The 23,153-nt window shown below is 47.1% G+C and overlaps 3 annotated features.

Moving 5' to 3' along the window:
* Positions 4,473-5,672: an enhancer, noted in NCBI's record as "CDK7 strongly-dependent group 2 enhancer chr11:69407786-69408985 (GRCh37/hg19 assembly coordinates)". NCBI's record gives its function as "activates an origin of replication core promoter dependent on BRD2, BRD4, P300/CBP, MED14 and CDK7 cofactors, with strong dependence on CDK7, by STARR-seq in HCT116 cells {active_cell/tissue: HCT116}" and the evidence as "EXISTENCE:reporter gene assay evidence [ECO:0000049][PMID:35650434]".
* Positions 12,337-12,837: an enhancer, noted in NCBI's record as "H3K4me1 hESC enhancer chr11:69415650-69416150 (GRCh37/hg19 assembly coordinates)". NCBI's record gives its function as "activates a minimal SCP1, AML or CMV promoter by ChIP-STARR-seq in naive H9 embryonic stem cells {active_cell/tissue: H9 hESC(naive)}" and the evidence as "EXISTENCE:reporter gene assay evidence [ECO:0000049][PMID:30033119]".
* Positions 12,838-13,338: an enhancer, noted in NCBI's record as "H3K4me1 hESC enhancer chr11:69416151-69416651 (GRCh37/hg19 assembly coordinates)". NCBI's record gives its function as "activates a minimal SCP1, AML or CMV promoter by ChIP-STARR-seq in naive and primed H9 embryonic stem cells {active_cell/tissue: H9 hESC(naive and primed)}" and the evidence as "EXISTENCE:reporter gene assay evidence [ECO:0000049][PMID:30033119]".

A 23,153-nucleotide genomic window follows, 5' to 3' on the forward strand; every position in this document is an offset into this window, starting at 1 on the left:
TGAATCATCTGCAGTTCGGCCTCTGCCCAGTAGAGTGAACTTAGGTACTGTAGAGCAGCTACATAATTTTTATAATAAAGTCCATCCACCAGGACAACGCATGGCTGGCCTAGGATTATGGACCCAGTGGAATGTTTGTGGATCCCTACTATATAAAAAGCTCTTGAAAAGCAATGAAGAAAAGGAGAGAAACCTGTTGGAAAACTATGGGAAAGACATGAGCAGGCAATTCAAAGAGAAGGAAATTCAGTTACCAGTAAAAATATAAAAAAGCGCCCAACCTCATAACTGGTTTAAAAACTGTGCATTTTTTAAACCAATAATATAATAATTTTGAGTTTTGTTTTTGCTTTGTCTGTCAGATTGGCGAAGACAAAAAAGGTTGAAAATACCCAATGTCACTATTGGAGAGAGCACAAATTGATTCAGCCTCCATGGGAGGGATAGGGACTATAAGGACCTATTGATCACATTTTAAATTGTGGCTGATCTTTGATAGCAACTATGCATCTATGAATTAGCTTAACTGAAAAACCCGTGTAAGTGTACAAGCATAGATAGGAAGGATATTCATTATGGCATTGTTTTTAATGGCAAATTTTAGGACCTTCAACCCCAAAAAGGAACCAGGCCCAGGAGGTTCACAGGGAATAGCTCCTAAACCTTTCATCCCAATGCTGTTTAAAACTTGAGCATACAACAAGGAAGAAAATTTTTTTAATTATTTTTATAAAGCAAGTATAACATTGATACCAAAACTTGATGGGAGCTTTGGATAAAATTTCTTATAAATATCAAGGGGAAAATCCAAAGTAAAATATAAACAAATAGAATTCAGAAGCACATGAAAAGAAGACTACATTCACACTGGGAAATATGTTAATAAAATTGATTGTATTAATTGACTTCAGGGGAGGTAATCAAATGATTGTTTCCATAGTTGAAAAACATTTGAAAAATTCCTGGTTAAACACTCAATAAAAAAGAATAGATGGAACTATCTTTAATCTAACAAAATATTTCCATCTCAGCCAGCTTCCTCTTAATACAAGAAACATGAAAGGTATTGCCACTAAGACAGCAACAATCATTATCAACACTGTTATTTAATTGTTGCAGAATTACTAGCAAATACAACCAGAAAAGGCAAATAAATTCAAAGTATAAAAATGGAAAAGAAGAAAAAGTCTTAGTATTTGCAGGTGATATCCTTATATTCCTGGAAAACCCCCCAAAATACATTGAAAGGCTATTATAAGCAATCAAATGCATCACTAAGGGAGCAGACTATATTAAAAAATCAGTAGCTTTCACACACACACACGTGCACACACACACACCACACACAATCCAGAATCTGCTTCTCAGTTAATTTTTTTAAAAGATAAAATGATAGGAATAAGCATAAAAGGAATTTTTAAGATCTCTATCTTTTAAAACTCTTAAGAACTATTGAAGAACACAAAGGAAAATAAACAATTGGAAAAACAACCCAAATTCTAGAAGCCAATTCTCACTGTTAATTTTCAAAGTCAACTTGACCCCATTGAAAATACAAATAGCTTCTTTTTCTCTAACCAGACAAAGCAATGGTAAAATTCATGTGGAAAAATAAATAAGATAGCCAGGAAAACCCTGAAAAAGAAGAGGAGAAAAGAGTATGATAATCTTGGCAGATATTTAAACATATTATAAAGCATCAGTCCATCAATGATAGACTGGATTAAGAAAATGTGGCACATATACACCATGGAATACTATGCAGCCATAAAAAAGGATGAGTTCATGTCCTTTGTAGTGACATGGATGAAGCTGGAAACCATCATTCTGAGCAAACTATCTCAAGGACAGAAAACCAAACACCACATGTTCTCACTCATAGCTGGGAATTGAACAATGAGAACACTTGGACCCAGGGTTGGGAACATCACACTCCGGGGCCTGTCGTGGGGTGGGGGAAGAGGGGAGGGATAGCATTAGGAGATACACTTAATATAAATGACGAGTTAATGGGTGTAGCACATCAACATGGCACCTGTATACATATGTAACAAACCTGCACGTTGTGCACATGTACCCTAGAACTTAAAGTATAATTTTAAAAAAAAAGAAAAAAAAAGCATCAGTCATTAAAACAGTATGATACCAGAAATAAACAGACCACTGACAAGGTATAAAAAGTTCAGATAGACTCAGAATACACATGACACTTCAGTACGTGGAAAAGAGGGCATCTTAACCAATGGGGAAGAGATGGCCACAAATGGTGTTAGGACAATCAGGGACCTCGTCACATAGCTCAGATGAATTCCACATCGATCAAAGGTTCAAATGAGAAAAGTAAAGGAAAAAAATTATAAAAGTGCTACAAGAAAACATGAAAGAATTATTTTACAGCTAGACAATGGGGAAGGCCTTTAAATTATGACTAAAAATATAAAAGGGATAAAAAAGTTTAAATTACATGAAAACAAAAATCTCTCACATGTTAAAAAAAAAAAGCACCATAAGAAAAACCAAAAAGCAAGACTAATTGAAATCTTTAGGGTAGGCCCTAATCCAATAAAACTGGTGTCCTCACAAGAAGAGAAGATTAAGATGCAATTTCAATTTATGAAGCCTACACTGTGGTTATCCAACTGTCTATAAATGTTGTCAATTTTGATGGTGTAAAGTTAAAAGTACACTTAGGAAGGGGAAAAGAAAATGACCCTAATCCAATATAACTGGTATCCTTATAAGAGGAGATTCAGACACAGTTTCAATTTCTGAAGCCTGAACTGTGGTTAGCCAACTATTTATAAATGTCCATTTTGATGGTGTAAAGTTTAAAGTACAGTCAGGAAGGGGGAAGAGAAAATGAGGAGATGTATGTTATAGACTGAATGTTTGTGTCCCTCCAGGATTCATATGTTAAAGCCTGACAGTATGGCTGTATTTGGAGATGGGGCCTCTAAGTAAGTGACTAGGGTTAAATGAGGTCAGAAAGGTGGGGCCCTGATCTATTAAGATTGTTGTTCTTATAAGAAGAGACACCAGAGAGCTCCCTCTCTCTCTCTCCATCTTCCCCCTCTGCCAGCCACATGAGGACACAGCAAGAAGGCTGCAGTCTGCAAGCCAGGAAGAGAGCCCTCACCAGCAACCAACCCTGCCACCTTGATTTGGAACTTCCAGCCTCCAGGACTGTGAAACAATAAATTCTTGTTCTTTAGGCCAACCAGTCTGTGATATTTTGTTAGGGCAGCCATAAGCATCTCACAGAATGGTGAATGGAAAGACGCCACCAGACCTTGCTGTGTCCTGTTCACGTATCATCGTGTATATAGATGTGGATATAATTCACTTACAATATCCCACCATCTCCTCCTGAAACAGTGAGATCAGATTTCATTTCCTCTGTGAGGCTCATTTTTGATTCAGTGATATCACTGTCATAAGATTGAAACAGGCTCTTAGGATTTTAGAACTATAAGAAATGTTCACCATTATCCCAGGCAACCTATCAAATCATGCTGACGGGGAGGATCTTGCTGATGGGGAGTGTTAGGGTTCAGTCATGCTCCCCCAAAATGAACATGTTGAAGTCCTAACCCCCAGAGCCTCAGAACTGACCCCAATTGCCCAGTGACTGCAGTTGGACATGAGGTCTTCACAGAGGTGATTAAGGTAAAATGAGGTCAGATGGGGGAGTCCTAATCCAATCTGACTTGTGTCCTTATAAGAAAAGGAGATGAGGCCACAGATATGCACAGAGGATGATCACGTGAGGACACAGGGAGAATGCGTGTCTACAAGCCGGAGAGAGACCTCAGGAGAAACCAGACCTTGACAGCCCAGCCCTCCCCAAACAACCCCATGTCTACATTAAAGTCCACCTCCCAGCCTTCCCACCCACCCCCACCCATACAGAGTGTCCCCCACCCAGCACCTGATGGTGAGCAGATTCCAGGAATGAGATTCAAGGTACAATAAGAACGGGCACAGAGCAAGACAAGCCAAGGAGATAAGGCCAGAGAGGGCAGGGGGCTCCCCAGACAGAGGGGCTAAGGCTGTCCATGAAGGAGGGTGCCGTGTACATCTGTGAAGAGAAGGAAAGAAATGGAAAATCCTTTCTCAGAAGGAAAACGAAAGGAGACCCGTTCTCTGGGAGCTTTACTCAGCTACGTCTTTCCCGTCGAAAAAGTCTCGGAAAGCTGTCAGATTCTTCACAGTCCTGTTCTCTGCACCATCTTGGATTCTCAAGTATTGTGAGAAAAATTTAATCCTTATGTTCCAGATTCATTTATACTAAAATCATCAAAATGCTTTCGTCTGTCTAAGGGGACTTTGGTGTTCTTTTTATAGACCTATTCAAGCCCATTTTCGCTTTGAATCACGTTCTGAAAATTGTAAGTGAATGCAATCTCCTGCTCCCTGAATTCCGTTCTGTTTCATGGTTGGAACTCTCTAGAGCGGGGACGACACTCTGTGTGGCTGAATGAACTCACCTCTCTTCCTATTGAGCTGGACTGTGCTGCACGCAGAGGGCCAGAGGAGGCCACGTCTGCTCCGAGGGCCCACGGGGGCTTAGCGGGCCGCACGCGTTGCTTCCTGATCACCCGGTGCCCGCACCGGCCCCGGTATAGACAATGAGCTCTCAACACCAGGGCCTCTGCCCAGCGGCTCTGGCAGCTCCCCGGGGCAGTGAGGCCTTCCCTCTGAGTGCTCACCATGACAGGCGGCAAACACTCTTGTCTCCGGGTCCTGGTCTAAGAACCTCCTCCCAACGTCTGTCTGGCTCAGTGCTTCCCAAAAGCGGCTGCATTTCAGAATCGCCTGGAAGCTTTAAACAAACCCAGATGGATTCCGCCAAAGTGGCAGTGGGTGGCCTTCGTCTTCTTGCAAAACTGTCCCAGGTGAGTCTTCTGTGTGGCCAGGTGAGAACCACCGGTCCGGCCCAGTTCCATGCACAGTAAGTGACTGTTGAATACGAAAATGGGAAACACCTCCATGTAGGTGTCCAAAGGTACCTTCCTCCAAAACCTCCCCGACGCCCCCTGCTCAGTCCCCATTGGCCGTGCGTAGGCCAGTCATCGGGGTGACAGGAGGACAGCCAGGGAGCCACCTTCTTGCTGCTGGGGTCCCCTTTCTGGGCCAGCCCTCCTTCCACAGCCCATGGGGGAGCAGATTGGCACCTCATTTAAGCTTTTTCTCTGTGGCCGAACTTTTAACTCTTTGTTTCCTGTGTCGTTGCTTTGTCTCCCCAGCCAGGTGTAAACCGCTGAAGGCAGAGGCCGCATCTCCAAGCTGTTGCCCTCCCCAGGGCCTGATTGGAGGCTGCACCAAGAGGCTGCACAGGGAGGATGAGGTTTTGGCCTTGAAGGCCAGCTCTGCCAGCTCCAGGGACCTTGGAGAACAGATCCTAAGTTGGGTACATTCAGTCTCGGTGTGGGCAGAGACAGGCTCAGCCAGCCATAGTTCCTTTTCTCCTTCCTGCAGACACAGTGATTGGCTCAGGGTGGTCATGTGACCCAAGCAGAGCAAATCAGAGTCCTCCCTGGGATTGCTCTGTGGGTGGTGGCGCAGATGAGTGTTCTTTCCACTAGGGTCGGAGAACAACATAAGCCTGGAGCGCACCATCTTCTCTGGCCACGTGACAGATGCCCGTGTGAACTGGCAAAGAGAAAGGAGAGAAAGAACATTCAGAGGAAATCAGAGCCAAGACAGAAAACAAAGCCTAATGACATCACCTGAGTGCCTAGATCCAGCCATCCCTGAAACCACTTGACTTCTCCAGTCACAAGAGCCAACTGGGATCCTTTTGGCTCATGCTGGTTTTTGTAGGATTCTACCCCCTGCCACCAGGCATTTAACAGAGCACACTAAGGACTGTGCAGAGGACGCCACCAGAGAGGTAAAGTGGCTGACACAGTGAGCCTGAAGGAATGGGGTGCTTAGCCCAAAAAGAAGGGCGCTGTGCTGGTTGACTCCTGGTATTCAAAGGGCAGGTGAGAGAAGAATTTGCTCAAATGAGCAGCCTCACAGTGCCAGAGGTCGGGGTGGGTGTGTGGGACTCTGCTGTGAGGGAAGGCTGCCCCACACAGCTTCACCCTCTCCTTGGTCAACTCAGAGTTCGGTGGTGCAGACGTGCACAGCTCAAGCTTCCCCATTCCACAGCCTATTTCGGGGACACAGATGACTCAGCCAGCATCTTACCCACCCACCCACGCCCAGCACCTTCCCAGCAGAGGTGGTTGACATCCCAAAAAGCCCGCAACTGCTAGACATACGATGGGCTCCCCCAGGAACCCACTCCACGGGCCCCACTCTTACTGTAGCTCGCCCCAGCCCATCGCAGCTGACATGGCCCTAGCCAGATGCTGACAGTTCCCCTGCTTGCAGGGCGTGAGTGAGTCCGGGGTCACTTGAGGCCTTTGAGGCAGTAGGGTCTGTGTAATAAGAAGCCTGGCATCAAGTGTGGAAGGGGTCTTCTCCTGGGAGTGGAGACCTGGGTGAGAGGCAGTCCTGCCACAAAGAACTGGGGACCTAAAGCCGTGTCTCCTGTCCTCCTTGGGCCTCTGATTCCTCAGGTCTGAATACCAACAAGCCTTTGGAGCTTATGCGGTCACAAGAGCTAGGACCACTGCACCAACTTCCCTTGGAGCCCACCCCATGTGTGACGGGCCCAATTGTGTCCCCAGAATTCATATGTAGAGGTCCTAACCCCGGTGCCTCAGAATGTGACTGCTTTAGAGATAGGGCTTTTAGGAGTAATTAAGTTAAAATGAGGTCCCCAGCATGGGCCCTAATCCCATATGACTGTGTCCCTATAAGAAGAGTAGATGAGGACACAGACACACACAGATGGTCAACCCTGTGAGGACACAGGGAGAAGATACCATCTACAAGCCAAGAAAGAGGCCTCAGGGAAAACCAACCCTGCCAACACTTTGATCTTGGACTTCCAACCTCCAGAACTGTGAGAAGACAAATGCCTGTAGTTTAAGCCATCCGCCTGTTTTGGCAGCGGGACCAACAACTGCACCAGGTCATGCCTCAGCGCCGTTTCTCCTGCTGGGCCCTTGACCTGGGGTGCCCACCCTCTCCCACTGGCCAGACTGCCTTCCTCTTCCGCCTTCAAGGCATAAGTTGGTGTTGGTGTCACTTATTCTAGGAAGGCCCTCTGGTACACACACGCTCACACACGCTCGCATCCACACACACGCTTTCTCACACACACACTCTCGCATGCTCACACACATGCACACATATGCTCACACACATGCTCACATGCACACACATACTCACACACATACTCACACACACTGACATACACACACATGCCCTCACACACGCTCACAATACACACATACACACATGCTGTCATGCACACACATGCTTATGCGCACACATGCTTATACCCACACGCTCTCACACACATGCTGACACACACATGCACACTTATGCTTTCACACACACATGCTCACATAACACATCCTCACACACGCTCACACACACTCACATACACACACGCACTCATGTACACAGGCCCACACACACAAACATGCTCACACACACGCTCACATACACACACTCACACACATGGTCATGCACAGGCTCACACACACATACACACAGGCTCACACACTCACATACACACGTGCTCACACAGGCTCACACACGCGCTCACACATGCTCACACACACACATGCTCACACACACACAGAGTTGCTTCCTTCTGTTAGATGATGGGCTCTGGCAGCAGCAAATGCCACCTTGGTGTCTCACCTTGGCCATCCCATTACCATCTTCCTGTCCCTAGAGTCCCCAGGTGGACACCGCCCACCTGCGCTCAGAAGCCCAGCATCCCCTTCTACCTCACTGGGAGCACCTGCAGGACCACGAGGGTCCCTCTAGTCCTTGGACTCAGCATCCAGCACCATGCGAGCGCCTTGGCTTTCAGGACTTGTCAGGTGAAGGAGTGACAGGCACATCCCAGCCACCATCACCACAGACCCGTGGCTGGGCACACGGTGGCCCCTTCCCAACTGCTTTCTTTCCCCAGAACTCCCAGGACCTCATGCCTCGTCCTCACACTCTCCTTGCCAGACACAGGGACATGGCTACACGCAGACATTTTGGCCACTCCTGGACCTCTAGGGACTGTGTTGACTCAAGTCTTAATGGGGCTTATTAGAGATCTTTTTCTTCTTCTTCAACAGCAACAAAACGGACCCTACTGTGTGCCTGTCCTGGAAACAACAGACACTTTGTTGGGCAGGCTGGGCAGTGGAGACACAGAGCCGACCCCACCCAGTGACCCCTCCAGCCAGGAGCCACCATGCGAGAGTCACCCTCCCAGCATTCTGTCCCCTGAGAGGCGAAGTGTGGGTGCTGGCTTTGTCAGGTGGCTGAGCTCTTGGCTACCTTCCTAGGGGGTCCCTGCAGGAAGAAGCTGAGGGGCTCTGAGAACCTGTCCAGGCTGTGCCCAGTTGGCCCTGCCAGTGATGATGTGAAGAGGGTGGTGACATCGGGCCTGCCCCTGGTCACCCCTGATTTCTGCTGCTGCCTCAGAGGGGGGTGTAGGCTGCTCAGCCCAACCACAGGCTCCAGCAAAGCCACCTCCAGTTCGAATTTCCCTCACCTGCAAACCAAAGGCGCATGGAGTACCTGCCATGGGAGGGGGCAAGCAAGCATCCTTCCCGTAGCCCTGGCAGTGCGACGGGGTGGGAACCCCAGGAGCACCGGGGTTTCTCTCTATGGACAGGCTAGCATCCCATCCTCTGTCCCCAGGGGACGCCTCTCTCCAAAGGGCAGCTCCAACCTGCAGGTTTACCAGCCCCCACAAGTAGGAGGGGAATGACTGGCCCACAGGATGCAGTCCCCTGCTCAGGATGTCATAACAAGGCCCACAGACCGAGTGGCCTAACAATCGAAATGTATCCACTCACAGTTCCGGAGGCCCCAGGTCCATACTGAAGGTGCCAGGAGGGTTGGTTCTGTCTGAGGGAAACCCGTGCCACGCCTCTCCTTCGCTGCTGGGGGCCCCACGCACTCCTTGGCTTGTCAATGGCCTCCTCTCCCTGCGTCTCCCCTTGGTTGCCCCTCTGTGTGATTTCCCCTTTTCATGAGGGCCACAGTCATGTTGGATTAGTGCCCGTCCTAATGACCTCATCTTAATCATCTGCAGAGACCCTATTTCCAAACAAGGTCACATTCCCGTTCATGGGTACCAGGGCTCAGGACTCCAGCATCACTTAAGGGGGCCAATCCCACAGGATAGGGGAGGCCAGTGCTTCGTGTCCCTTCCCACCAGGCCAGGAGGTGCATTGGCCCGTGGGACTCCAGGCACAGAGTGTAGAACATTCAGGAGAAAGTCCTCTCTCTAGTCCAGCAAAATCTCCAGGCCTCTGTGCACTGGGAGCTGAGGAAATGGCGTAGAATTTGTCTCATCTTATGGTGATTCCAAGTAGACACAGTGTTGGTGCCAGACACAAGACACTGGCAATACCAGGCCAGCCTTTTAAAATTTTATTATTATCATTATAATCATTGTCACTGTTACAATTGATGCAGCCTGAGATTTACTTAGAAAAAAGGAATGGCCATGAGCTTTTGTGAGAACTGGGGACTGACGTCAGGACAGGTGTCCCCATGGTGTGAGCACCTGGGGTAGGAAGGACTTGCTTATGTGCTCACAGCCCCTGAGTCCTTGTGCTGTCAAGAGGAAGCAGAGTTCCCCGGAAATATGGCCAGAGGGATGTAACCACTTCCTTATGCATGGCACATGGGTTCCGGGTCCCCATAGTTGGTGCTGACAGCCACCCGGTGGGCAGGAGTAGCATGGCTCTGCCTACTCTTGCGTCAGGCTCAGGGTCCACTCAGCAGCCCCAGCCTCTAGCCTGGAAGGGTCTGGACAGGTGGTTGGTCATCCCTGGAGGGCCACTGATCAAGTGTGGCCCTGGTCAAATTAGGGTGTAGCTCTAGTCTGATAGGACTGTGGCCCTATAGGAAGAGCAAGAGACACCAGACAGCCTACTCCCTCTCTTCCTCCACCATGCAAAGACACAGCAAGAAGGCGGCAGTCTGGCAGCCAGGAAGGGAGCCCTCACCAGGAGCTAAACCCAACAGGAACCTTGGTCTTGGACGTCTGGCTTCCAGAATTGTGAGAAAATTCTGTTGTTTAAGCCACCCAGTCTGTGGTATTTTGTTATAACACCCTAAGCAGATGGAGGCAGCTCTCCTTGCTTTGCTAATAATAATCATTTACCTAGGTACATGAATTCAGGTGTTCAGAAAGCTTTCCTGGCCAGGTATGGTGGTTCACACCTGTAATCTCAGCACTTGGGGAGGCAGCAGTGGGAGGATTGCTTGAGCCCAAGAGTTCAAGACCAGCCAGGGCAACATGGTGAAACCCCATCTCTACTGAAAATAGAAAAATTAGCCAGGCATGGTGGCACTCCTGCAGTCCCAGCTACTTGAGAGGCTGAGAGGTAGGAGGATCGCTTGAGCCCAAGAGTTCGAGGCTGTAGTGAGCCATGACAGCAACACTCCACTCCAGCACAGTGACTCACTCCTTTAATCCCAGCACTTTGGGAGGCCAAGGTGGGAGAATTGCTGGAGCCCAGGAGTTCAAGACCAGAAAGCTTTCCTACCCTTACCTCTCAATCTTAACACTCCATGGTGCAAATGCTTTGGGGGTGGTGGGGCCAGGCCAGAGCCCAGGGCTCAGCCCCCTGGCTCAGTACTACGTCCCATACTCCAAAGTTAGATTTCAGAGCTGTTTGTGATCAGTCTACTTGGGCACTTGAGAATGAAACCCATTTCTCAGATTGAAAACAGAGGCCAGAGGAGTTAAACAAAGGCCTAGAAGTCCGAGGAGCCTGGCTGTACATATTCATTTATAGCATAAACAAACTGACCAATTGTAATAAAATGGGTTAAAGAGGCTGGAGAGGCAAAGAGAGTTTCTGAGTTCCTGCCCACCAGGCACACCCTGCAGGTTTCTCCAGAGATGTTCCTGTTCTCTTCGCAGCCAGGGATCTCCCCCTTGGAGTTCCCAGCCGTGCACCTAATCCTGCCTCATGAAACTGGATCCCACCAGACAGCTAAGCCTTCGGATGCCTGTAATTCCTTGGCTAATGCTAGGCTTAATTAAGACATCGACTTTAATAGCATTCTCACCGATTAAGAAATGGCAGGTCTGAAAGATGATATTTCCTGGTGTGCAAAGATATCATGATGAAATCTCCAAGTCATCGTTTCAACACAGGAAGTTATCGGCTACCTGGGGCAGTGCCCGTCCTGCTGCACAATTGGCCCGCTGTTAGCAGCGTTATTTAAGAGGCTGAGGCATCCATGTTTCCCAGGAGCCGGTCAGTGGGGAAAAAAAGGATCAATTGAGTATTTTAGCTCTGCATATAGGTCTTCTCGATGTTTGGTTTGCTTTGATGCGGAGTAAAAGTAAGCGTTATACGTTTGAACTTGTTGCTTTATCTTTTCCAGACTTCTGTCATGTCTCAAAGTCAGCTAAAAAAAAAAAAAAAAGTCAGCTTGAGTTAAATTAGCATTTCTGCCTCTCTTCCTTTGCCTGTCAGTTTTAAAAATAAGTATCGTAGTTTTATAAAAATCGAGTACCAGAATCTTTACAGTTCCACATGGCATAGCTGCCACCCAAGTCGAACGTGAAGCTGAGCTCCCGTTAGATCTGCAGACACTCCCCATCAATGTCCATCTGGTGCATCAGGGTTGCGGGGTACACTGGAGAGGAAACACAATTTCTATAAGGAATGGAGTACAGTTTATAAAACAAGCTATTTGTTTCCACCATGAGGTGGTCTATCTCTAGCAGGGTGTTGCCCTTTTTATAACATGGGTCTCTGTTTTTGAAAGAAATTGTCTGTTATGTGCAAATTATTATTTTTGGAAGGAGGAAACCAAAATGTCAGTGCATTCCTAAGCCACCCTAGGGGTAGGGGTGAGGAGACTTTCCTGGGATCCTCCTCCATCGTCCAAGCAGAATCAAAGCTGGGGCAAGATTTCACTTGAGTCAGCACCACCCTCCACCCCCATGTCTCCATCCCTGGAGCTTAGATGGATTCAGTAGAGTGATGAGTTAATACTAGTTTCCTTCCTTAGCCAACTGGCCACTTAGGGTCCAGAGAAGAGACCTTCCGTGGGCACTGACCAAGGCCAGCACCCACAGCAGGAAGAACTGCTGGCAACGGGCAGCTCCAGACCCCATATCTGCGCCTCTTGGGAGGGACAGTGGCCTGCGGAGCGGCACCCACATGGGAGCGTGTGCGTCCCAACAGAACTCTCCCTGTGTAAACCCCTTCTCGCCTGGGACCCAGTGCCACATTCAGACCTCGGAAATTCATGTGTACTCAGGAAATTCAAACACATTATCATTTTCCAACATGCGGTGATGACGGTAATGACACTGGGAGGCCTTCACTCAAAGCAACCGTGGATGGAGCTGACAGGGCAAGTGTTAATAGGACCACCACTGATGAACAGGGAAGGAAGCAAAGCCAACCATATTTCCACTCCTCCTTGGCTCTCGATAACCCCTGGGCTCCATACCCCCACCAGGCCCCAGGACTGTGGCCAGTCCTCGCCTGCCTTTGTTCTTTGGCAGGCCCGCTGGCCTCTCCACCAGGCAGCCACATCCTCTGCAGAGATGCACATATTCGTTTATTTATTCAATTCATTTTGACTTATTCATCAGATTTAAATGGACTCTTTTTCATAAAAGCCCAAAGAGTAGAAGGGAGGTGGCTCTCCAGATGCAGGCGCTGGGCCCCATGAGTTTCCTGTTAAACCCTTGATGAGGTCCCTACATGTGCAAGACCACGGTGGCAGAGAGGAGGCCGAGAGCAGAGGCCATGGGAGACAACAGCTGCTTCACGCCCAGCTTTGAGGGCCAGCCTGGCCAGGAGAAACCTGAAGGTGGGAACCTGCAGCTTCCTGGGCCCAGCTGAGCCTGGGGTGAATCCACATGTTTACAAGAGGGTGCAGTATGCAGGACCGGCCGCACAGCTCAGATGGAAACTCCCCTCCTACAGTCAAAGTCCAGATTCCTGGCTTGGCCTTCAAGTCTCTCCAGACCGACTACTTTTCCAGCATCCACTTCAGAGCCCTGTGGTCAACACAGCAGAGCAGCCGCTTTCTCATCCCCAAGCTCACCATCCAGGTCCCCTGTGTTGGCCTGGCTTCTGGGAGCATCCCCTAGTCTCTGATGAAAGCTGCTGAGGACTGACAGCCATGTCCTGAGCCAAGAATTGACATTGACTGCATGAAAGCCACCTGGCCTGGAACATCCCACCAGAACCACCCTGCCTGGTAGGGCCATAGTCAGTGACTGACTGACTGACCCTGGGGGTCTAAGGGCCCCCATGCCTCACTGTGGGACTGACTCTGTGATGCAGGTCACACTCCAGAGCCCCCTGTGGGGCTGAAACCACCACTGTGCTGAGCCTCCCCTGCCCCATCTAGCCTCTCTCACTTTCTTTCTCTTGAAAGCCCTCTGTCAATCAATCCCATGGACCCAAACCCTTGTCTCAGGCTCTGCATCTGAGAAGCCTGGCCAGAGACCCTGCCCTTTCATATCCTTCTGGCTTTGCTGACTCTGTCCCCTCCATGGAAAGGCCTCTTTCTCCCTTAGCACGGGTTGAATTATGTCCCTCAAATATTTATGTGTTGATGTCCTAACCCCCCATATCTCAGGATGTGACACTGTTTTTGGGAACAGGGACTTCGAAGAGGTAATTTAAGTCCAGTGAGATCACATGGGTGGGCCTTAATCCCATCTGATCGATGTCCCTGTAAGAGGAGAGGAGGACACAGACACGCACAGAAAGACCACCCTGGAGGACACAGGGAGAAAGCAGTCAACTATAAACCATAGAGAGAAGACTCAGGAGCAACCAGCCCTGTGACACCTTAATCTGGGACTTCCAGCCCCAGGATGGTGAGAGGATCAATTTCTGTTGTTTAAGCCTCCCCATCTGCAATAGCTCATCATGGCAGCCCCAGCAGATCAAGACACTACTACATTCACTGACACTGCATTTGCCCTTCAGGATCCAGCTGTCATCCACCTGCAGTGCCTCCCCACTTCTCCAAGATAGAATCATTTCTGCAGCACATTCTCGTGCCCCTCTTAATATACATACCACATCCCCACTTGCATTATGCTAGTTATGTACATTCCTACCTTCAGCAGAGACTCTGTCTTTTAATGTATTCCTCCTTGCATTCCACGTAAGACCTACTAAATTGTCAATCAATGTTCATCGAGTTAAAAATGGACTTGGATTGAATTTCTTGACTCCCTGGGGCAGGCCACCTTCCTCCTCCCCAGCAGGCCGAGCTCAGTGGCAACTGAGATGGTATCGCACACGGGCACAGCGCAGGATCACGCTCCGGTCTCCGACACTGGCCCCATTTAAATGACTCTGGGGACAGAGAATAGGAACTTAAATTTCTTTCCATGCAGCTGAAGGCTTCCTCCTAGGAAGTCGCTGACTGAACACACCTCACCGAAAAGATCACAGATGAAACTGAAACCCTAGACCCATCTCAGGTCCCCTAGGGGCTCCTGATCTGTGGACCTGGCTTCCCCTAAGACCCCCTTTGGGAGCGAGGCTGCTGGGAGTCTGTGCACCAAGAGGTCAATTGTCCGATATCACTGAGCCAAAGCTATCTGTTTAACCGACAACATATCTGAGTGTCAGAATCAGCGACCATCATCCAAGATGCTGGAGTTTTTTCTTCCGCGTTGAAATGGATCCTTTGAGAGTCAGTCAAGGGGAAAGAATGTGGAAGGATGAAGCTCAGTAGAGCACCTCGGAGAAGGAGGCCCTCGGTTATAAGGGGGACATGAAAAACGGGGAATTTCCTCTCCCATCACAGGCTTCCCTCAGTTACCTCTACACCTTTCTGTAGAAAAACCACTCATTTGTTTTTCTGAAGACAGGAGGGCAGGGGGTGTGGGGATCATCCACAGCAAGGCATGTTTCCTGAGAATGTTTTTGATTGTCAGGAGGAGACTTTTCAAAGTAAACGCATGAGAGTCTCCCTACCCCCACCCTCCATACGAATACTGGGGGCTGCTTTGCATAAGCAGCTTGTCGGCAGGAAGAAGGCAAGTCGATGCATCCCAGGATGAATGATAACTGCGCGGCCCTGGGCTTATGAACAATAGCTTTCTGGCCAGACAACATTAGCCACAGCCAGGTTGCATTTTTAAAAGAATGTTTGTGCATTTTTTTTCTCCCTCCTAAAACTCGGAAGTCTCTTAAAAGACATCAAAACTGTTAAGTGCAGATATTCGGAATAAATCAACCCTTTTTCCCTCCAGTATGGTTGCTGTTGTAATAACAGACTTCTTATTTGTTGGATACTTATGTAACTTAAGATGAAAAGACATCTTATAGCCTTCTGGCAAAATGATGGGAAACCAACAGCACACCGGAGTCTCCTTTACGCCCAGGAGGGAGTCAGTTTCAGGCCATGAGAAAGGGGCACTTTTCACTGCTTCTTGAGACCAACCTCCTGCCTTTCAATATTTCCATACAGTGACTTTTCATAAAGGCATGTAAAAAATACCTTGGTTAATTGGTTGTGATGAAAGAACATGATAACACAGTGGTCACGGAGACCCATTGAGGGTTTGTCCAAGAATTCGTTAAGTAACTGGTTTCTGAGTAGATTTGCTTAAATGTGCATGTTCCTCTCTGATTTGGAGACATTTGGCAAGCTGAGGTTCAAAACAGGAAAGTCGGGTTCCAAGGCTCTAAGCAAATCGGTTCATCTTAATGGGCCTCAAATGACCCAGCTAAGAAATGGGTCTAATTATACCCACGGCCTTGGATCGTTGTGAAGTTTAATTAATGCTTGAAAATGTTTTGAGATCCTCGGATGAAAACAGACCACAGATACAGAGTGTTATTACAGAATCCTGCCAGAGGCTTTCTTTTTCTGCAATAACATGCTGTGGGCATTATCTGAACTTTGTCCCTGCCAGCAATGGGGATTTCTGAGATGTGCCTCTGTCCACTACACCTGCTTTCAAACCCTTTAAAGCCCTTTGACAGCTACGGGCCACTTATACGTAAATGCCCCAAGACAACAGACATGAGATCTGAAGAGATTCCTTAGCAACTCAATTTCCAAGAAGTGGCCAGGCACGGTGGCTCATGCCTGTAATCCCAGCACTTCGGGAGGCCGAGGTGGGTGGGTCACTTGAGGTCAGGAGTTCGAGACCAGCCTGACCAACATGGGGAAACCCTGTCTCTACTAAAAATACAAAAATTAGCCAGGTGTGGTGGCAGGCGCCTGTAATCCCAGCTACTCAGGAAGCTGAGGCAGGAGAATCGCTTGAACCCGGGAGGTGGAGGTTCCAGTGAGCCAAGATAGCACCATTGCACTTCAACCTGGGTGACAGAGCAAGACTGTGTCTCAAAAACAAACAAACAAACAAACCCAGGCTGGAGTGCAGTGGGTGACAAAGCAAGACCCTGTCTCAAAAACAAACAAACAAACAAACAAACAAAAATTTCCAAGAAGAAAAATGTGTCTGTGCTCTCTCCTGTGGACTTTGGTTAATTTCTCCACCATCAACGGTATCATTTGAGGATGACTGTGGTCCCTCCCACACCTGGCTGAGATTGCTCAAAATCAAAATGGTCTTTCTTAATGAACAGCCAAGGAGAGGGCTCGGGTTCACCATCTTTTATTTATCCTTCTGTACTATAATAAAGTAGAAAAGACGGATCTTAACTAAATTTGGTCTCTAATAAAGGGATTCCGGATGCACACAGTTTTGCCTTCCTTTTGATCTTCATCTTTTAAATATAATTTTCTTGCTGGGCTCATGTGCCCGGGGTAAGAGATGGATGGAAGGCTCTGCATGGTCTGTAGGTCACAGGCTCACTGGCATGTGGAGTTCTTGTATAATCTGGCTAGGCCCAGTTCTCAGGGGTCTGATGGGAAGCTGAAGATTTGTTATTTCTCAATGCTGAACAGATTGGAAAGAAAGGGACCCTCACCTCCCTGATGTGGTCCCTTATGTCCCCTCTGCCCAGGACACTCTGCCCTGATATGGCCACTTGGCTGTCCTCTTTGGCCCACTTGGAGGTCCATACAAATCCCCCCAGCCCCCTGTGCTAACTGCTTCCCTGCTCCCCTCTCCTTCCACCCACGGTCACTCTCAATTTCTTACCTGGCATTATTCCCTTTGTGTTATTACTCATTCAGTGACATGGCATTCTCTGCTTCTCCCTCTAGAATTTGGTGTCCATGGGGTGGTGGGGAGAAGTGTCTGTTTAATTCACTGTTGTGTCCCCAGCCCGAGTATCCTACCTCATACATCGTGAGAGCTCGATCAATATTACCGGGTAAATGGCCTCAGCGCCCAGTGGTGCAGAGTACGCAGAGGCTGAAACAAAGGCTTGAGTGTGAGCCCTTCATGGAGAAGTATGATCTGAGGTGGGGTGAGCAAGGCTGGAAGGACAGGGGGCGACACAAAGGCACAGACTTGAACTTGCTATTGCTACCCTCACTGGTCGCTCAAACCAAGAGATTCCCCAAGGAGTGTGTGACTGTTTTCCTGGACTTTCCTCTGGAGAGGGGAAAACATTAATCCCGCCTTCATCCATCAGCAACCACCCTCTGCTAGAGTCATCCACAAACTCCGGTACGGTGCACGAGTGGGTCGCAGTGTGACCACGAGAGGCGTCACTCCTACTGCCCATGAATTCCTGGGGACACAGCCCCGTGTGCCGGCCATTAGCTCAGTGCATTCACCACACACTGGAAGACGGGGTCCCAATGCCACTGGGTGTTGCCCTGAGCTGACACCTTAGCAGAGTCTTTAGCAAGATGCTCTCACATTCCCTTGGACTGATGCTTCTGGCTTATGGGAATATATCTGTTGTAAGCCTGACAGATCTCACCAGTGTGTGCTCCAGAGAGTGTCTCCCTCACTGTAAAATGTGTCCTTGCTTCAAGGCATCTGCCAATTCCTTGGAGACAGATTCTGTCAGCCCTTTGATTGATGTGGGCAGAGCACTGTGAACGCAGAAGGCAAATACATATCTAGAGTAATGCCAATTCCTAAAAAGACAAGTGTTATCTCCTTTAGACTAGAAGGGGACCAATATAATCAACTTACCACTAAGTGGTTGGTCAGAGCCCTCAAGGAATGAGGCCTTATTGAAGGTTTGTCATTACTGTCTGCTTTTGTGTGTGTGTGTGTGTGTGTGTGTGTGTGTGTGTTTGTTTGTTTGTTTGTTCGAGACAGGGTCTTGCTCAGTTGCCCAGACTGGAAGGCAGTGGCACAATCACGGCTCACTGCAGCCTCAACCTCCTGGGCTCAAGTGATCCTCCCACCTCAGCCTCCCCAGTAGCTGAGACCACAGGTACACGACACTACACCTGGCTAATTTTTCATTTTTCATAGAGATGGGATTTCACTATGTTACTCAAGCTGGTCTCAAACTCCTGGGCTCAAGTGATCTGCCTACCTTGGCCTCCCAAAGTGCTGGGATTACAGGCATGAGCCACCACACCCAGTCTAGTGTCTGCCTTTGAAAGGTTGGGCAGACCAGCATGATCTGTAGAATATCAAGATGATTATGGTACCTGTGAAGTATATTCTTTGGAGAACAGGAGTTATTATAACATAGATCTGGAGTGAGATTGTGAATATCCTTCCTATCTAATGATAAATTGCTTTTTATCCTCTTTACTGATCAGGATGGAGAACACATTTGCTATAGCAATAGCTGCACACCTTCCAACTTCCAATTCTGGCCAAAAGTAACTTTCCTGCCACAAACAACTCTAAAACTGGGGAACGGGGGAGGGATATGAAGCAACTGTGCTCAGGCATTGGCTACAGGCAGCAAAGACTGTGATCTCTAAGAGAAGGGAAACTCCTGATGTGAGCCCATGGATTGCCCTGCCTCTCTCCCTAAGGAAAATGTCCTAACTGTGGTCCAGGGGGCTTAGCGAGAGCATAGCAATTTTACCCAGCTGAAGAGGCTGCCAAATAGCTGGATCTATGGGTCAGGGCACCAGAAACAGGGGAAGCTCTTCCAAGCATGGGTACCTCAAAAGTTTGTGTGGGGGTCACCCACAGTCCTCGGACAAAGGTGGAGCTGTGTATATACAGGGAAAGATTGAAGAATTACCAGAGATCAGTTGCTATGCAGTTGAGAGGGAGAATGATGCTGAGACATATTGGAACTCCAGCTCAGCCAGAGGGGAGTGGTTTCATTTATATCCCAGACATAAGAGACATCAGAAAAATCATGCCTCAGGAGTAAGGACCATAATCTAGAATAAGGTCTACTCTATACTCTCTAACTAAACCTAAAACTAAGCCTCAACAAGAGTACCACATATAGCTGGAAGGCAAAACTTGGAGGATGAGTTAAATCAACTTAGTGGGGCTTGGGAAACACTAGATCCTAGTCTATGCAAATTCAAGTTATCTGTCAGAATCAAACTGCCTGCTAGAATAGAAATCAACGGTACTCAGAAGCAAATAGCAGAATCCTAGATTTCTAGGGTCTGTTATCGGCAATGTCCAGAATATAATAAAAACAAATTCTAGACATCCAAGCAACAGGAAAACGTGAGCCATACTCAGAAAAAAAGGCATCAATTGGAAATGACACTGAGATGTCCCAGATGTTGCACTTAGCAGACATAGACTTTAAAACTGTTATTATAATAAATATGTTAAGGGTTTAAAGAAAAATATGGTGTTAATGACTGAATGGATAGGGAATTTCAGCAGAGAAATTAAAACTTAGAGAAGGAACCAAATGGAAATTCTACAACTCAAAAACACAAAGCAAATGAAAAAGTAGCTGGATTGACTTAAAAGAAGATTAGAAATGACAGAATAAATGATCTAAAGACAAATCAGTGGAAACTATGCAATCTAAATAACAGAGATAAAAAAAATGTAAAGAAAGTAACAGATCCTGAGATAACTATGGAATAAAATCAAATGGCCTAGCAATGTGTAATTATAGTCCTAGAAGGAAAGAGGGTGATAACAAGGCAGAAAAAAGTCTGAAGAAATAAGGCAAAACTTTTCCAAAAGTTGATGGGAATCATCAACTTACAGATCCAAGTAAATCAGTGAACCCTAAACAGAACAATTGCCAAGAAAAACCACACCTAGGCACACCATAGTAAAACTGCTGAAAACCAAAGATAAAGAGAAAATCTTGAAAACATTCAGGGGAAAAAAATGTACATTACAAGGAGGGAAACAAAGATACAAATCGTACTGATGCCTCATCAGAAACAATAAAATCAGAAGAAAGTGCCAAGAGAGACTTAATGTGTTGAAAAAATTTTTCAACTCAGAATTCTATATCCAGTGACAATACCCTTCAAAAACAAGAGTGGAGGAAAGGATGAAATAAAGGTCTCTTTAGACCCATAAAACCTGAAAGCATTTCCCACCAGCGGATCTGTACTGCCAGGGTGTTCTTTAGTTTGAACGGATATTATACCAATGGAAATAAGAACCCACACAAATGAATGAAGACTATCTGAACTGGTAAATAAGTGGGTAAATAGTCACATGCCAAATATCAGAGATTGTGTCAATCTGCTCCAGTAAATTCACCACATCTGGCACAGCAGCAGCAACGAGGTTAAGTTTACATGGTAAAATTTACCATACCATCATGCACCATGATCTGTCTGTTTTGGCAGGGGCCAGAGAGGTGAATTGGATGACAATGCCACAGCGCAGCATCACTACATACTTTAGGTTTTTTGTGATGGTCCTAAATCCCTGCAGTTCCCCCTGGTTTATAGTATTGCTTCTGATTTTACCATCTTAGCCAGGAGGTGACAGTTTCAGGGGCTTCCACTTGGTTCTTCCCACTTCATGGCTCTTTTCCCACAAGTCAGAGAATCAAAGCAAAAGTCCTGCCAATTCTGAAGTCTGGCTACTCCAATTACTACAATAAGGGAGAGGGGAAATGACTATGAGATGAGTCCTTGGATCCAATGGCTCCACTGTGTGATGACCTTGGGCAGGAACTCCATTTATCACCTGGTCTTCTTAGGAAGGCCCCCCACCGTCCGCTGCCAGTATAACCAGGGGATAATCAGGAGTTTCAGATTGCCTGATATCAGGCCCTATATCCAACAATCCCTGAAAGTGTAAGTAATCCTCTCTCTTCAGTGCACAGTTACTCCGGTAGATAGCCACATGTCACCTCAGGAAAGCATCAGGGAAATAATTGCTGCATAAACTGGCAGTGGTATCACAGGATCCTCCCTCAAGGATACTCAACTTCCCTTTTAGTTAATTAGTTAATTAATTAATTAATTAATGGAGTCTGGGTTTGTAAACTGAAACCTACTACTATGTATACGTCCCTGGTTCCCATTGGTACATATTCATTAGCTCCTGATTTCTTCACTAGTGAGCTCTTTCCTCTTAGAGCAGGAAATACATTTCCTCACATGGGCCATGCTCAGGGCTGACCCTAGCTATTAGCCTTATCGGCTTGGATGTACTGAGGTGGGAACACATACTGAAAATGGCTAATGTCATGTTACATACCTGCTTCAAGTGAGACTTTGTGAATTGGAGGAAGCTCTAGGCAAAGGGGGCATTTCTCATCGAAGGGATAAGGATATCTGCTGATGTAGAGGACTCAAAAGAATCTGGATGTACAGGATTTTCAGGTTCATCCACCTAAATGTTACCATCTTGGATCTCAAAGTCCCACTCTTTTCCTACCAGGACCCTAATTTGGACAAAGCAGGTCTGTGCATTCAGTCTTCTTTGCTGCTCTGCCACTCTTACAATCAGATCCTGAGCCTGATTTTCAGTACAGTCTGCCTTACAGAAAATGAAAATCTATAAATGCTGCCAGAGACCCTCTGGATTCCACAGCTTGACATGAACTGACAGATGGCTAATCTAAACCTATCACTTTCTTTTTTCAAGGCTCCCAGGGCCATTTAACTAAAGGAAGCACACTCCATGCTATTCAAGTGCCACAGCCCTGCACAGCCCAATGCCTCATTTTCCATGTGCACCTCATCCCAGGCAACCACAGGTGAGAGCCTTGGCAATGTGTGCCATAATCATCACCACTACCAGGAACGGGGCCCTCATTGATGTTTGACTAGTGAGTGATCCAATACCAAAATCCCATCCTGGGGCTCTGCTTTCAGAGGTTATTTCTTTTTTCCAACTATCTTAGCCCAATGTTCTTAGCAAATCCTGAAACAAAGACTTAACTGCAAGTACTTGGTTGGGAAGTGAGAATGAGTGAACAGGACTGAGGGAGAGGGGGAACAAGGAAGGGAAGAGGGGAAAGCCAAGTCAACCTGTGTCATTTGGTTAACCTCCAAACACCTGCCATTTCAAATCAATAAACATCTTCTGGGTAATAGACAAACTGCAATGCTGAGTATGTCTTAACTGAGAAGCAGGAAACCAAGGCAATTGCCTGGATTTTAAATTCAGGAGCAAACTTTAGGCAGAGGTGAGAGTGTTTGGGAATGATTCTCATTCTTGCCTCAGTTCCTTGAATGTGAGGGGAAGGGGAAGAAGTCCTGGCCCACTTGTAAGTATGACATTGGTTTCATTTGCAATTCCATACCCAGCCAGCCCTCCAAAACACTATGTACTTTGTTTAAGTAAGGACAGGAAATTAACATGGGCAGATGACATGCTGCTCATCTTACAAGTAAAAATACTGGGATCTGAAGATATACAGGTATCTGTTAGAAGTTCCAAAATTCAAACTAGAGTCTGCTTCCCTCCGAAGTTCTTGCTTCCCCTAGTAGACTGTGCTGAGAACTTTGTCCTGAGAATCCAGAGTCCATCAACCCCAAACAGGCCCCAAATTATCCAAAGAATAATTTGGGTGAGGTAAGTGAGGTTCAGAGTCATTTAAGGGAAATTGCCTGTTAAATCAGTGGATTCATCTGAGTCTGAGATCACACATGAGCCCAGCAGAACCATATTCTGGCCTCCATGGCCAGGAAGATTTCTTTTTTCAAGAGATTGTTTTCTAAAGTGAAAACACAGCCTTTTTTCTTCTTCTGTTTCTGTGGGATTTTCCTCTTTGACTGTACAATTTGCTGAAAATATACATTTTGATAAGAGAAATATT

This window comes from Homo sapiens, chromosome 11, assembly GCF_000001405.40.
Source record: "Homo sapiens chromosome 11, GRCh38.p14 Primary Assembly".
NCBI classification, from domain to species: domain Eukaryota; kingdom Metazoa; phylum Chordata; class Mammalia; order Primates; family Hominidae; genus Homo; species Homo sapiens.